The following is a 17,300-nucleotide window of genomic DNA, read 5'->3' as shown; positions in this document are numbered from 1 at the left end:
ACATGGGGATTAAAATTGGAGATGAGATTTGGATGGGGACACACAAACCATATCATAACCCAAACAAATGTGCCTGGAAGGGTTCCATTCTAGAAGGGTAATTTCCCCCTTTTGCTTTATTGAGTGTGATTGCAAATGAGGTCAAAATCCTTTTGGGGTACATAGGATGATACCTCTCTCCTGTGATTCTGCACACAAACAGTACCATTATTAACATTTTGATCTCTTCTGGAATGTGTTGGTGCAATGAATAGAACTTTAGTTCCACAGGTACACTCTGAAGCTAGATTGCCTGATTTCAAATCCTTGCTCTTCATTTGCTGTTGCTAGACCTTGACCTTAGTCTCTCTGTAGCCCAACTCCTTCATGTGTAAAATGAGAATAATGATGACAACTACTCACAGGAGAATTTCTCTATAAGAATTAAATAATACACAATGCTTAGAACAGCGTCTAGTTCAGAGGAAGTCCTATGTACATTGTTATTTAGTTATAACCATATAAACATAATGGATATCTTATAGTCTTACATTGATTAATGCAAGTCTTTCTCATTTCATGTTGTCATAATCATTTTCCAAGTGGTTTAATACTCTTCATAATCATTTTTAAGGCCCACACACATAAGGGTCAATGTAGAATAAACAGACCATACTTTATTCATTGCTGTCTTGTAACACCGTAACTTCTAAATTTTTGCTACTTAATTAACAAATATCACAGTTTGAGATATTCCTTAATATAGTCACATATTTGTGCACATATGTGTGCATATCCCTCTGAGAGCAGACTAGCCTAATGGTTGAAGCACAGGCTTTACAAACATACTGCAGGTGGTATGAATCCCAACTCCCCTGTTTACCAGCTGGGGCAAGTTGTTTTCCTTGCTGTGATGCAGTTTCTTCATCTAATAATGCTTACTTACCTCGAGGCCATGGTGAGGATTTAGCTAATAAATGTTAAATGCTTACAGCAGTGCCTGCCAAGTAGAAAGTACCTATTCAATAAATGCCAACTATTATTTTATTTGAAATATTTCTCAAAGCAGATCACTTTGTTGAAGTACAATTATTAGCTCAGAAGTTATTAAATGTTTATAGCTTTTAATACATTACTAAACTAAATAATTAAAAGATTGTATTAATTTATACTAACAATATTATGTAAGAGTACCATTTCAATACATCTTAATCAGCATTCACTACCAAAATTACATTAAAAATAATAATTTGACAATAATTCCTTGTGGGTTTTTTTGCATGCACTTTATTATGCAAAGAATTTAATTGCATTTAACTGCCAGTGCCTTATTTTTCTAATCCTTTTATTTGAACTTCCAAAATAGTTACTTGATGCTAGTATGTCATTTCATCGTTTGCTTGTCTTAATTCAAGACCCATTTTACTGAACTTTCATTTTTCTACATCTTGAGGTAGCCTTCTTTCATACACATATATGATAATTTTATTCAGATTTAGGTATGTTTCAAAATATACAAAGTGCTTGGGTACAGTGCAACTCTCTAAAAGATAATGAACATCTACTTAAGTTCTAGATCTACTCTGTGTAAAAAAGGACTGCCTAGGACAGGAAGAAATGTGATACATATGATTAATCATTCATGGATCGCAATCAGTACAATTGTTTTTTTTTTTTTTTTTTTTTTTTGAGACAGTCTCAGTCTATAGCCCAGGCTGGAGTGCAGTGGTGTGATCTCAGCTCACTGCGACCTCTGCCTCCCAGGTTCAAATGATTCTCCTACCTCAGACTACCAAGTAGCCAGGTTTATCGGCATGCACCACCCACCCGGCTAATTTTTTGTATTTTTAGTAGAAAAGGGGTTTCATCATGTTGACCAGGCTGACCTCAGGTGATCTGCCTGCCTTGGCTTCCCAAAGTGCTGAGATTATAGGTGTGAACCACTATGCCTGGCCCACATAATCTTTTAATCAGGAAAAGTATCACTCAACAAGGTAGTAGGGATGATAGACCACCTGAGCTGACAGAACACTGCTGAAGGGATAGATCTGGGATCCACCCTCAGCTTATTCATTAACTCTTGCCTCTCACATTGCTTGTCTGAAAAATATAGGGGGTTAGATAAAATAAGAGGTATCTTAAAGACTTCTGCTTGGCTTCCTGCTCTTCTTCAAAAGTCCAAATTCCACTTATCGTTCCATATTGAACTCAGATGTCTCCTTATGTGTGAAGTCTTCCATTTTTCTCCACATTCTCATATTTCCTTTTCTTTGTTCTAATATTCTCAGCCCATACCCCTACCCAAGCACTGCTCGACACTGAAACAGAAATATGTGTCCTCCCTTAAATCACCAAAGGTCCTGAGGGAAGGTACCATATTAGTGCCTGCTATTAAATATGGTACTGGAAGTCCTAGCCAGAGCAATTAGGCAAGAAAAAAAAAAGGCATCCATGTTAAAAGAAGTAAAATTATCTCTGTTCACAGATGACATAATCTTACCTGTAGAAAACCCTAAAGATTACACACACAGACACACACACACACACACACACACACACACACACAGAATAAACAAATTCAGCAAAGTTGCAGGACACAAAATCAACACAAAAAATTCAGTTGTGCTTCTATACACTAACAACAAACAATCTGAGATGGAAATTAAGAAAACAATCTCATTCATAATAGCATCAAAAAGAATAAAATACTTAGGAATAAACTCAATAAAGAAGGCAAAAGCTTACACAAACTACAAAACATTGCTACATGGAAATACATTCCATGTTCATTGATTGGAAGACTTAATACTGTTAAAATGTGTGTACTACCCAAAGCAATCTATAGATTCAATGCAATTCCTATCAAAAGCCCAATGGCACTTTTTTTTATTTTTTATTTTTGCAGAAATAGAAACAAAATATTTTAACATTCTTATGGACTCTCAAGAAACCCTGTGTTGCTTATACAAACTTAAAACAAGTTGAAGATTTTATACTTCTGAATTTCAAAACATTACTAAGCTACAGCAATCAAAACAATGTGGTACGGCCAGGTGCAGTGGCTCACACCTGTAATCCCAACACTTTGGGAGGCCAAGGTGGGTGGATCACTTGAGGTCAGGAGTTTCAGACCAGCCTGGCCAACACAGTGAAACTCCATTTCTACTAAAATACAAAAATTAGCCAGGTGTGGTGGTGCTCACCTGTAGTCCCAGCTACTCAGGGGACTGAGGCAGGAGAACTGTTTGAACCCGGGAGACAGAGATTACAGTGAGCTGAGATCGCACCGCTGCACTCCAGCCTGGGTGATACAGCGAGACTCCCATCTCAAAAAACATAAAAAAGTCAACAAAACAAAACAATGTGGTACTAGCATAAAGACATACAAATAGACCAATAGAAAAGAACACTGAGTACAGAAATAAACCTTCACGTATATAGCCAAATGATCTTCAACAAGGGTGCCATGAATACACAGTGGGGAAAAGGATAGCTTCACTGACAAATGGTGCTGAGAAACTGTATCTCCACATGCAAAAAAATAAAACTGCACCTTTGCCTTACACCATATACAAAAATTAACTCAAAGTAGATTAAAGATATAAACATTAAGACCTAAAACCAGGCCAGGCACAGTGGCTCACACCTGTAATCCCAACACTTTGGGAGGCCAAGGCGGGCGGATCACTTGAGCTCAGGAGTTTGAGACTAGCCTGGGCAACATGGCAAAACCTGGTCTCTACAAAAAAAATACAAAAGAAAAAAAAAATTAGCCAGGCATGGTCGCATGTGCCTGTAGTCCCAGCTACTGATTAGGGGTGCTGAGGTGGGAGGATCACCTATGTCTGGGAGGCAGAGGTTGTAGTGAGCCTGGATCATATTACTATACTCCAGCCTCAGCAACAGAGCCAGACCCTGTCTCAAAACAAAACAAAACAAAACAAAAAAAAAAACAAAAAAAGGCCTAAAACCATAAAACTCCAGAAGAAAACATAGGAGAAAAGCTTTATGACATTGGTTTGACAATGATTTTCTGGATATGACACCAAAAGCACAGGCAATGAAAGCAAAAGTAGACAGATGGTATGGCATCAAACTTTAAAACTTGTGCACATCAAAGGAAACAATTAACAGAATAAAAATAGGCAACCTATGGAATTAAAGAAACTAATGGCAAATCATATATCTGATAAGCGGTGAATATCTAGAATATATAAAGAACTTTCACAACTGAATAACAAAAAAACAAGTAACGTGATTACAAAGTAGACAAAGGACCTGAATAGATATTTCTCCCAAGAAGACATACGAATGGCCAACAAGCACATGTAAAATACTCAACATTACAAATTATTAGAAAAATGTGAAGCAAAACCACAGTGAGATATCAGGACATACCCATTAGGATGGCCACTGTCAAAACCCAGAAAATAATAAATGTTGATGAGAATGCAGAGGACCCTTGTGCACTACTGGTGAGATTATAAAATAATGGAGCAGCTGCTGTGGAAAACAGGATGGTGGTTCTTCAGAAACTTAAACATAGAATCACCATGTGATCCAGCAATCCCACTTCTGGGGTATAAATCCAAAAGAAGTGAAGGCAGAATCTTGAAGAAATGTTTGCACACCCATGTTCACTGTAGCATTATTCACAATAGCCAAGAGGCAAAAGCAGCCCAAATGTCCGTCGACAGATGAATGGATAAAAAATAATTGGCATATATATACAGTAGAATATTATTCATCTTTTTAAAATAAGAAAATCCTGTTATATTCTACAACATGGATGAACCTTATATGCTAAGTGAAATAAGCCAGTCACAAAAGGACAAATACTGTATGATTACACTTATATGTAATATCTAGAGTAGTCAAAATCATGGAAATAGTAGAATTGTGGCTGACAGGGAATGCAGGGAGGGGGAATAGGGAGTTGTTCTATGAATATAGAGTTTCAGTTTGTAAAGATGAAAGAGTTCTAGCTATCTGCTATTCAACAATGTGAATACTGTTAACACTACTGACCTGTATACTTAAAAATGGTTAAGATGGTAAATTATATATTATTTGGTTTTTACCAAAATTAAAAAATAAAGCCAAAAAACCTCACTGCCTGGCATGGGGCATCTGTTAAAAAAAAATAAAAGGAATAAACTTTCTCCTCCTCAAGCCTGATAACGTGGCTTTACAATCAGATATAAGAAGCGACTACAGAAACAACTAAATGTTTTATAATTACTCAAGAATAAGGAGTCCAATATTAATCATGCCAAAACAAAACCTACTGAAAAAGAGGGAGGAGATTTTTTTCTAAAGTTCAAATGAAAAAAAAAATACTGAATAACTCATTCGTAGGGTGATTTGTTCAGTTACCTACATTTTTGTAGCTAACTCAGTCTGGGTGTTACTCAAAATTAGGTCACCTTGTAAAAGCAAAGTGTGTAGAAGACACCACCTTCTCTTAATTTTTTCTTGGTTAAAATTACCTCAATAGGGACTGAGTAGGTAAAGATGTGTGTTGTTTATAGTCTGGCATGGTAGTTCAGAAACTCAGTTTGGTTTGGATCCAAAATGACTTTTTAGAAATTCCTGATCTTCCCCATCTGCTGCCATCCCCTTGGGCTCACATCCACACACACAAAAAAATGTAAAATCCAAACACCCAGAACTCCAAATTTCTAAGCATGAAGGTCACATTGGATAATACATTACATTAAAGGGTTGGCAGAAGGCAAATTACACAAATGAACAGGGGAATTCAGTGAAAACAAATGATTTATCATCATTATGAAAATCTAGTCACCTACTAAGCTATCCAATATAGTAGCCAATAGCCACATGAGACAATTTAAATTAATTAGAAATATGGTAGAAAATTCAGTTCCTCAGACACACAAGCTACATTTCAAGTGTCTAAAACCATATGAGCTAGAGGCTACCCTATTGAACAGCAGAGATACAGCATATGACATATATGTATAAGATATGAAATATATGATATATTATCACCATCACTTCTATTGGAGAGCTGAAAACTAGGCATCCAGTCCGTGGTGTGCGTGCCAAATATGAATGCTTACTGAGTTACTGATTTAAATACCTCATCACCTTTTTACGTCATTCTTGACTTTTCATCACATAAAAAAGTGAACATTTCTTTCTGTTATATTACATTTTTGTTTAAGATATGTTGTTTTGTTTCACTGACAAGGATCCATGGAATGAAAATAGAAAATATTTTGTGGAGGGAGGGGGACAAGATGTCTGACTTGATGCAACTAGGAAGTGCCTCTCCCACCAAGAGAAACCAAAATATCAGGTAAACCATCACGTTTCAAACAGATCTCTTGAGTGGAAAAACTGAGTGCTGACAGAAGGGTGATACAGACATTGAGGTGGAAGAGGGAGGAAGTTGGGAACCCTACATGGAGTTGCCAAGCACTGGGACCAGCTCCAGACCTTAAACAGGTCTTGAGGAAGGGGTGAGTGAAAGAACTGCAAGGCAACACTCTCCTGCTGTGGACCTCCAAGATCCTAGCTGCAAGAGCTCCCACCACCCTTACAGATATTTGGATTGGCAAGGGGAGCTGCCCAGAGAGTAGACAGAGGCAGAGTTTGAGCCTGCACGGAGCCCAGAAGGTTTTGCGGGGGGCAGCTACAGCAAAACACGACCATCAACAACCATCTCCCTGTGGCTCTAACCTCTGCTGACTGCCAAGGCCAGGAGAGAGCAGGGCTATCTTTCCCATGGGACCAGGGTGACTCTAATCTGCCACGCCCCCTTCTCTGCCAGCCCCTCCCAAGTCTTCCGGCTGGCTGCTCCCACAAAAGCATACACATAGCACAGCTTCCACTGCCCCTCCTGAGTGCTTTGCTGGTGGCCTGGGAGCACTTCGGCCCCCCTGCATAGCCTGTGCTCAACCCTAAGAGGTCAGAGGACAAAGCCACAGGTCCAGTCCCAATCCCCCAGAGTTCGGACACACAGCTGAGGAATATCCAACTGAGATCTATGGCCAGAGCTAGATTGGGGTAAGAGCCCCTACTCTCCAAACACTGAGAAGTATAAGGTGTGGGTTTGTGGGCTGGAGCAGGAGCAGAACGTGCTTCCCTCTGCAAGACCAGCCAGGGAAAGGTGTAGCCTGTTTGTCAGCCAAAGCCTCTGCCAGAAGGAGCCCCATGGCCCAGAACAACCAACAGCCCAGCAATCTGTGTGCAGGTGGAGTGAGACAAAACTAGCTGGTCATGCCAGCTACTAGGATAGACACCGTAAGGAGATCCCGTTGTGGGAGCACGAGTGGAATGGTCCCCACAGCCATCTGCTAGGAAAAAAAACCCAAGCTGCAGTCACCACACCAGCTGCATACCCACAGCAACACTGCCCTGCCCAGGGATCCTCACCCTTGACCTACTGCATCAAGGGGGCACCTGTTGACATATCCCACAACCTGCTCTGACTCTGCCAAGCACAGAGGACCAGTGGGTCCCCAAGGACCTGCGGGTCTCCTGGTGACCTAAACTTTGGCTTGGGTGACACTAAGGGAAGGGAGAACACAGCCTACCAGCACCCCACTTTGGGACTAAGAAAATGTAAGCATGGCACCAGTGACTGGAGGGGGCTCTCCAAGACCCAGGAATGGATTTGGTGAGGTTATCTCTTGCCAACCCCCGTCTAACTCACCCCAGAGTACTGCTGCGAATGCACCAAAATATAAGAGGCGTGTGACTAAGAGCCTATCTACCAGCCCTTACTCTTTTCAAAAAATAGTCTTTTTTATCAGCTTACATCATGCTTTTTCTTTTTTAACAAATTTTTTTAATTAAAAATGTTTTTTATTTGCCCTTACTCTTAAGTGCCACGTACTAGATCACAGCCTTAATTAAACCACCAAACATAAATTCTTTCACCATACATCACCAGTGAAACCCAATGCAGGAATCTAGCCACAAAGAAAGATCCCGCACAGAGCCTTGACCCTCTGAAAGCACCCAGGAATGAAGTCAATCGACTATAGGCAGCATACTCCAGTCAAACCCTCAAGGGAAATAAAGAATATAAAAACAAATAGCCCCATCCAAACAACAGCCATTTCAAAATGATAAGGCAACACCAGCCCTCTCATATGAGAAAGAATCAGCCCAAGAACTCTGATGATTCAAAAGTCAGAGCATCTCCTTACCTCTAAATGATTGCACTAGCTCCCCAGCAATGTCTGGTTCCCTACCAGACTGAAATGGCTGAGAGAGATGACAGACATAGAATTCAGAATCTGAAGGGCAAAAAAGCTCAATGAGATTCAGGAGAAAGTTTAAACTCAATCCAAGGAAGCCAGTAAAATGGTCCAGGAGAGATGACATAGTAATTTTTAAAGAAAGAAACAAACTTTCTCTACAACTCATTGGCATTCCTGAGAGAGAAAAAGAGAGAGTAAGCAACTTGGAAAACATATTTGAGGATATAGTCCACAGAAATTTCCCCAATCTCACTAGAGAGGTAGACATGCAAATTCCAGAAATCCAGAGAACACCTGCAAGATATTATACAAGACAACCATCCCAAAGACACACAGTCATCAGATTCTCCAAAGTCAACAGGAAAAAAAAAATCATAAAGGTGGCTAGGGAAAAAGGCCAAGTCACTTACAAAGGGAACCCCATCAGGCTAACAGCAGAGTTCTCAGCAGAAACTTTACAAGCCAGGAGAGACTGGGGATGTATATTTAGCATCCTTAAAGAAAAGAAATTCCAACCAAGAATTTTATATCCTGCCAAATTATGATTCACATGCAAAGGAGAAATGAAATCCTTTTCAAACATGTAAAGACTAAGGGAATTCATTACCACCAGACCTGCCTTACAAGAGGTACTTAAGGAGAGAGTTCTAAATGTGGAAAGGAAAGAACAATATCTGATACCACAAAAACACACTTAAGTACATACACAACAGATCCTACAAAGCAATTACATAATTGAGTCTACAAAACAACCAATTAATAACAAAATGACAGGATCAAATCCTTACATATCAACATTAACCTTGAACATAAATAGTCTAAACGCCCCACTTAAACGGCACAGACTGTCAAGACCCAACCGTCTATCTTCAAGAGACCCATCCCACGTGTAAAAACACCCATAGTCTCAAAATAAAGAAATGGAGAAAAATCTATCATGCAAACAGAAAGCAAAAAAGAGCAGGGTAACTATTATTACATAAGACAAAACAAGCTTTAAACCAACATAGTCAAAAAGGACAAAGAAGGGCATTATATAATGATAAAAGGTTCAATTCAGCAAAACATAACTATCCTAAATACATATGCATCCAACACTGGAGAAGTCATATTGATAAAACAAGCACTTGTAGAATGGCAAAAAGACTCAGGGCTGGGCGTGGTGGCTTATGCCTGTAATTCCAGCACTTTGGGAGGCAGAGGCAGGCGCATCACCTGAGGTTGGGAGTTCGAGACCAGCCTGACCAACAAGGGGAAACCCTGTCTCTGCTAAAAATACAAAATTAGCCTGGTGTGGTGACACCTGGGCAACAAGAGTGAAACTCCGTCTCAAAAAAAAAAAAAAAAAAAAAAGCCACATAACAATATTGGAGGACCTCACCCCACTGACAGTGTTACACTATCAAGGCAAAAAACTAACAAATACATTCTGGACTTAAACCTGACACATGACCAATTGTACCTAATAGACATGTACAAAATACTACACCCAACAACCACAGAATATACATTCTTCCCAACTGCACAGGAAACACACTCTTAAGATTAACCATATTTGGTTATAAAGCAAGTCTCAGTACCTTTTAAAAAATTAAAATCATACCAACCATACTCTCCAATGACCGTGCAATAAAAATATAAATCAATACCAAGAAGCCCTCTTAAAACCACATAATACATGGAAATTAAACGACTTACTCCTGAATGACTTTTGGGTAAATAATAAAATTAAGGCAGAAATAAAAAATTTCTCAAAAATTAATAAAAACAGAGACACAACATACCAAAATCTCTGGGATGCAATGAAAGCAGTGATAAGAGAAAAGTTTACAGTACAAAATACCTATATCAAGAAGTTAGAAAGATATCAAATTAATAATCAAACATTGCCCCCAGAAGAACTAGAAAAACAGGAACCTCAATGCTAGCAGAAGAAAACTAAAATCAGAGCAGAACTGAATGAAGTTGAGATGCAAAAATACACACAAAAGATCAATGAAACCAAAAGTTAGTTTTTTGAAAGGATAAACAAGATTGATACACTGCTGTCTAGATTAATAAAAAGAGTAACAATACAAATAAGTAGAATCAGAAAAGACAAAGATGACATTACCACTGATCCCACAGAAATACAAAAGATCCTCAGAGACTAACTACTAAAACATCTCCATGTACTCAAACTAGAAAATCTAGAAGACAGCCTGTGCAACACAGTGAGAACCCATCTTAACAAAATATTAAAAAGTTAGCCTGGCATGGTGGCATGCACCTATAATCCCAGCTACTGAGGAGGCCAAGGCAGGAGAATCACTTGAACCTAGGAGGCGGAGGTTGCGGTGACCCAAGATCGCGCCGCTGCACTCTAGTCTGAGTGACAGAATGAGGTTCTGTTTCAAAATAAATAAATAAATAACTGAAGGAAAAGGAAGGAGGGTAGGGGGGAAGGGAAGGAAAGAAGGAGAGAGAGAAAGAAAGAGAGAAAGAGAGAGAGAGAGAGAAAGAAAGAGAAATAGAGAAAGGAAAGGAAGAAAGGAAAAGAAAACAAAATCTGGAAGCAATGGAAAAATTTCTGGAAACACACAACTTCCCAAGATTGAACGAATAAACTGAAACCCTGAGAAGACCAATAATGAGTGCTAAAATTGAATTAGTAATAAAAATCCTACCAACCAAAAAAAGTCCTGGACCAGATGGATTCACAGCTGAATAATATCAGACGTACAAGGATGAGCTGGTATCAATCCTACTGAAACTATTCCAAAAAAAATCAAGGAGGAAGGACTCTTCCCTAATTCATTTTACAAAACCAGCATCATCTTGATGCCAAAAATCTGGCAGAGACACAATGAAAAAAGAAAACTGCAGGCCAATATCCCTGATGAACACAGATGCAACAGCCCTCAACAAAATACTAACAAACCAAATCCAGCAGCACATCAAAAAGTTAATTCACCATGATCAACCAGACTTTATTTATGGGATGCAAGGATAGTTCAACACACACAAGTAAATAAATGTGATTCACCACATAAACAGGATTAAAAACAAAAACTATGTGATCATCTCCATAGACCAAAAAAAAAAAAAAAAAAAAGCCTTCAATAAAATCCAACATCCCTTCACAATAAAAGCCTTCAACAAACTAGGCACTGAAAGAACATACCTCAAAATAATAAGAGCCAGCTATGACAAACTCATGGCCAACATCATACTTAATGGGCAAATGTTGGAAGCATTTTGCCTAAGAATTGGAATAAGACAAGAATGTCCACTCTCACCACTCCTATTCAACCCAGTACTGGGAGTCCTAGCCAGAGAAATCAGGCAAGAGAAAGAAATAAAAGTCACAGAAATAGGAAATAAAAGAAGCCAAACTATCTCTCTTCCCTGATGATATGATTCTATACTGAGAAAATGCCAAAGCCTCCACCAAAGCCTCTAAGAATTGATAAACAATTTCAGTGAAGTTTCATTATACAAAATCTGTGTACAAAAATTAGTAGCATTTCTATACACCAATAATGTTCAAGCTAAGAGCCAAATCAAGAACACAATCCTATTTACAATAGCCTCAAAAAGAATACAATACCTAGGAATGCATCTAACCAAGGAGGTGAGAGACCACTAGAAGAACAACAAGTGCACTGAAATAAATCAGTAATGACACAAACAAATGGAAAAACATTCCATACTCGAGGATGGGAAGAATCAACATCATTAAAATGGCCATATTGCCCAAAGCAATGTATAGATTCAACACCATTCCTATTAGAGCACCAAGATCATTTTTCACAGAATTGGAAAAAACTATTCTAAAATTCATATGGAACCAAAAAACAGCCTGAATAGCCAACACAATCCTAAGCAAAAAGTACAAAGTGGGGGGGCATCACATTACCTGACTTCAAACAATATTATAAGGCTACAATAACCAAAACAGCACGGTACTGTTATAAAAATAGACACATAGACCAATGGAACAGAGTAGGAAACCCAGAAATAAAGCTGCACACCTGTGACCATATGATCTTTGACAAAGTCAACAAAATAAGCAATGAAGAAAGGACTCTCTACTCAATAAATGATGCTGGTATAACTGGCTACCCATATAGAGAAGAATGAAAGTAGACCCCTATCTATCACCATATGTAAAAATTAACTCAAGATGCATTAAGGACTTAAATATAAGACCTCAAACCATAACATTTCTTGAGGAAAACCTAGGAAATACCCTTCTCAATACTGGCCTTGACAAAGAATTTACAGTTGTCTTCATAAACAATTGCAACAAAAACAAAAATTGACAAGTAGGACCTAATTAAACTAAAGAGCTTTTGCAAAGCAAAAGAAACTATCAACAGAGTAAACAGACAACCTACAGAATGGGAGAAAACACTCAAACTATGCACCTGAAAATAGCCTAATGTCCACAATCTATAAGGAACTAAATCAATAAGCAAAAAACAAATAGCCCTGTTAAAAAGTGGGCAAAGGATATGAACAGACACTTCTCAAAAGAAGACATACAAGTGGCCAACAAACAAATGGAAAAATGCTCATCATCACTAATCATTAGATAAATGCAAATCAATCTCACACACGTCAGAATAGCTTTTGTTAAACCGTCAAAAATAACAAATGCTGGTGGGGTTGCAGAGAAAAGGGAACACTAATACACTGTTGGTGGGAATATATTAGTTCATCCACTGTGGAGAGCAGTTGGAAGACTTCTTTTTTGTTTTGTTTTGTTTTTTTAGACAGAGTCTCGCTCTGTTGCCAGGCTGGAGTGCATCGGCGCGGTCTTGGCTCACTGCAACCTCCGACTCCCTAGTTCAAGTGATTCTCCTGCCTCAGCCTCCCAAGTAGCTGGGATTACAGGAATGCACCACCACGCCTAGCTAATTTTTTTTTTTTTTGTATGGAAGACTTCTTATGGAACTAAGAGCTGAACTAGCATTTGACCCAGCAATCCTATTACTGGGTATATAACCTAAGAAAAATAAATCATTCTACCAAAAAGGCACATGCATCCATGTTCACTGCAGCACTATTCACAATAGCAAAGACATGGGATCAACCTAGATACCCTTCAATGTTGGACTGGATAAAGAAAACATGGTACACATACACCAAGGAATACTATGCAGCCATAAAAAAGAGTGAAGTCATGCTGTTTGCAGCAATATGGATGCAGCTTGAGGCCAGTATCCTAAGTGAGAGAATACAGAAAGAGAAAACCAAATACCACATGTTCTCACAAGTCGGAGCTAAACAATGGGTACACACAGACATAAAGATGGGAACAACAGACACTGAAGAATATAAGAGGGAGGGGGTTGGGAGAGGGAGAGGGCTGAAAAAGTACATATTAGGTATTACCCTTACATCCTGGATGACAGGTTCAATTATACTCCAAACATTAGCATCATGCAATATACCTTTGTAACAAATCTGTATATGTAGCCCCCCAGAATCTAAAAGTTGAAAATATATATAAACAAGTAAAATAAAAGGCATGATTTTGATACATAATTGCACTAATCTATTTAATAATATAGTCCATTAAAAATCACTTTTATTGCTATTGTTGATAACCAAAGTTTCTTCTGATATCTATAATTTGTGGAAGACTATGGAAACTTTTCAAGTTGAGCCAAAAAAAAAAAGAAAAGAAAAAACAAGAGCTTGTTTTTTCCAAAGAATGGATAAGATTTCATTAAATGAGAATTATTTATATTTCCTTCTTTGCCACAGCTACAAGAAAACTCCAAATTAACTTAATATTTTATTGCTGTAACTATTACTAATCCAGGTTTCCAATAAATGTACTTTCTATAAAATGTTTGTTTGACATTACTTTTTCTATTTTAATGTATTCTTTTATTGTAAGGAAACTCAATTTCCTTTTGGAGATGGAAGAAACATAATTAGTAAATTGTATAAATAGAACTCTACTGCCCTTTGTGTTTCAAGAATAGAAGTTCCAAGCAAGACATCATGATTAAAATGTTTTCCAATAACATAAGAAAAATAATCTGTAACATTCATTACATCAACATATTGTCTACATCAATGTCAAAAGCCAGTTAATAAAATTAAGTATTCTTAATAAAACTCTAAGAGACAAAGAACTGAAATATGAAAATTACCAAAACTTAATAGCAAATATCGTATTATTAATAATTGGTGTAGTGCAAACATTTCCATTAAAATCAGAAATAAGATAAGGATATCCCCCTATCATTCAACATTGTTTTAAATAGTGTAGCTAATGTAATAAAATTTTGAAAATCAAACAAGCAATACAAATATTGAAAGATGTATAGTTTTTTTCAGTGCTCCACCCACAAAATCCAAATGTCCATAATAGCTAATTAAAATAATTAAGGTTAATTGTTAAATTAACTCATTAAATTATTAAATTAAATTAATTAAGGTTAATATATTATATATAAAACAAATTGATTCCTTTTCTCTATACCTCCAATAACTAAATAGAAATGGGGAAAAATCCTACTCTAGTATCGGTAATAAATGCATGGAATAAATTTGATACAGGAATCTAAATTTGTCACGAGAAAAAGGCACAGCATCTATTTTTTTAAAAAAACTTGTAAAATCTTAAAGGACATAAGACATTGGAATGACATATTCCTGGATACAGAATCTTAAAACAATAAAAATATCCATCTTTCTCAAATTAATGCAGTTTAACTCAGTATTACATTTCTTAGGAATGCTTTCACCTGCAAGAAAACATTCAACTAACAGTGGCTTTAGTCACATTTAATTATCTCCCATAAAAAGAAGTCTGGAGAAAGGAAATACAAGGACAATGTAGTGGTTCCCTAACATGCTAAAAACCCAGGCTCCTATCTTTCTGCCTTAAGATTGCTGCTTTGTGGCTTCATGGTTCTGAGACGGCTACTGCAACTTCAGGCATCACTTCCAAGTTCAAGGCAGGGAAGAAATGGATAAAGGAGTGATGCTGCTATTTTTTAAAATCAAAAAAGCAAATGCTTTTCTAGAAGTCTACCAGTAGACTTCCAATTATGGTCAGAGCCACGTCACAGAGCTACCTCTAGTTGCTAGCAGGCTGAGGAAGTGAGCACCCAGCTCTTCCAGTCGTTACAGTAGTGGAAGGAAAGGCAGAAGAACACTGAAAATGGGTATTTGCTTAACCAACTAAGTGTTAATGTATACCATAAATGTTAACCAAAATCCCATTTTTCCTCTCAATTTCCTCTGTCTCTCCAACTAGAATATAAATTGCAGAAGGTGGGAGTCTTTACCTTGATCATAAATTACTTGTTGGATAAACAGCATTAATGCCAACTAAAAATAGCCATGTTTTTTAAAATGGCATTTCTAAATGATAGATGCTTTAGTATATTACAGCCTTACCTTTAATTTTCAATACTGTGACTAAACACAGAATTATATAATAGGGAAGTTCATGTGGTCTCACCATTCTCCCAAACCCTGCCCAAAGGTGGTAGCATGACTGCCATTGTCTGATTGAAACACCACACGTGAATCTCTTAAGGTTTGTTGAGTGCTTATTGCATGTCAGAGACAGGGCTTAATGCTTTACATGCATGATCTTATTTGTATTCACAATAATTCCATAAGGAAAATACTAGTATTCCCATTTCACAAATGAGCAAAAAAATGAGGCATAGCTCAAAACAATACAAATTAGTTGCAGGGCGTGGATTAGAACGTAGGTCAACCTAACTCTGGATTCCAAGCTGTGAAACACCAAGCTTTACCACATCCACTGCTACAGCCCATTCCACTGCTAGAGGAGGGTTCTTTTATTGGGCTGATCCAATGGACCACTCTATTATTTGTACTCATTGTCTTAGTTCTGGAGGAAAGTGCAGAATTCTATTCACTCTACTACATGATCACCCTCTGAGACTTCAGAATTATTTCCAAACACTGTTATTTTGGTTACCTGCTTGTATTAGTCAGGGTTGTCTACAGAGACAGGATGAATAGGATAGATGGATATATGAAAGGGAGTTTAAGGAGTACTGACTCACATGATCCACAAGGTAAAGTCCCATAACAGGCCACCTGCAAGCTGCGGAGCAAGAAAGCCAGTCCGAGTTCCAAAACCTCAAAAGTAGGGAAGCTGAAAGTGCAGCCTTCAGTCTGTGGCAGAAGGTCTGAGAGCCCCTGGCAAACCACTGGTGTAAGTCCAAACGTCCAAAAGCTAAAGAACTTGCAGTCCAATGTTCAAGGGCAGGAAGCATCCAGCATGGGAGAAAGATGAAGACCAGAAGACTCAGCCAGTCTCATCCTTCCACGTTCCTCTGCTTGCTTTTATTCTAGCCACGCTGGCAGCTGATTAGATGGTGCCCACTCAGATTGAGGGTGGGGCTGCCTCTCACAGTCCATTGATTCAAATGTTAATCTCCTTCGGCAACCCTCTCACAGACACACCCAGGAACAATACTTTGCATCCTTCAATCCAACCAAGCTGACACTCAATATTAACCATCACACTGCTTTTGGGTTAAACAGTTTATAGGATGCCCCCTTAAAATGTAGTAGCCAAAGGAAACAACACCACGGAGCTATTTACTAGATATATAGACTATCTTGTCGATTAAACTGCCATTAAATCTACACTTCAATGTTGTCTAAGATTGCAACATTTTTCTTAACAAGGCTTGTAATATTTTTGGCCAACAAACTTTCCAAAACTTTTTCAAATAATTTGTTGCCAAACCAGGTGTCCTCCGATGAGGACTTAACGTTTAGCCATGTTGTTTCAACTGTCTTGATCCAGTTCTTCTGACCTAGTTGGGCATAATGCCCTTTAGATGCACATTTATATTTACACATATGCACACAGACTGCACAAACGTAACCCCCATACGCTCCACACAAAACTGAATACATTTACCTCAATTAATGTTGATTAAAAACAAACGTACATATAGTTAGTTCCTTCATCCCTTTAGTTAAGTAAAAATAAGTATTTCAGTTCAATACAGGAAGCATCAAAATATTTAAATACTTCTTTATACACACTGTGAAGAAAAATGTTATAAAAACATTTAACTGGTGATTGTG

General features: G+C 37.9%; 1 long non-coding RNA gene across 4 annotated transcripts in view; it reads right to left on the bottom strand.

Annotated features, from left to right (window-relative positions):
* The window catches only part of LOC105370169 (uncharacterized), a 38,623-nt gene extending 22,105 nt beyond the window's left edge, over positions 1-16,518 (bottom strand). For all 4 annotated transcript variants that reach the window (NR_187781.1, NR_187783.1, NR_187782.1 and 1 more), the window contains exon 1: positions 16,262-16,518. This is a non-coding gene — a long non-coding RNA (uncharacterized LOC105370169). The remainder of the gene's footprint in view (positions 1-16,261) is intronic.
* Positions 16,519-17,300: the final 782 nt, after the last annotated feature.

The sequence above is a fragment of the Homo sapiens genome, chromosome 13, assembly GCF_000001405.40.
Source record: "Homo sapiens chromosome 13, GRCh38.p14 Primary Assembly".
In the NCBI taxonomy this organism is placed as follows: domain Eukaryota; kingdom Metazoa; phylum Chordata; class Mammalia; order Primates; family Hominidae; genus Homo; species Homo sapiens.
The sequence above is the reverse complement of the archived record's forward strand: the minus strand, read 5'-3'. Positions and strand labels throughout refer to the sequence as shown.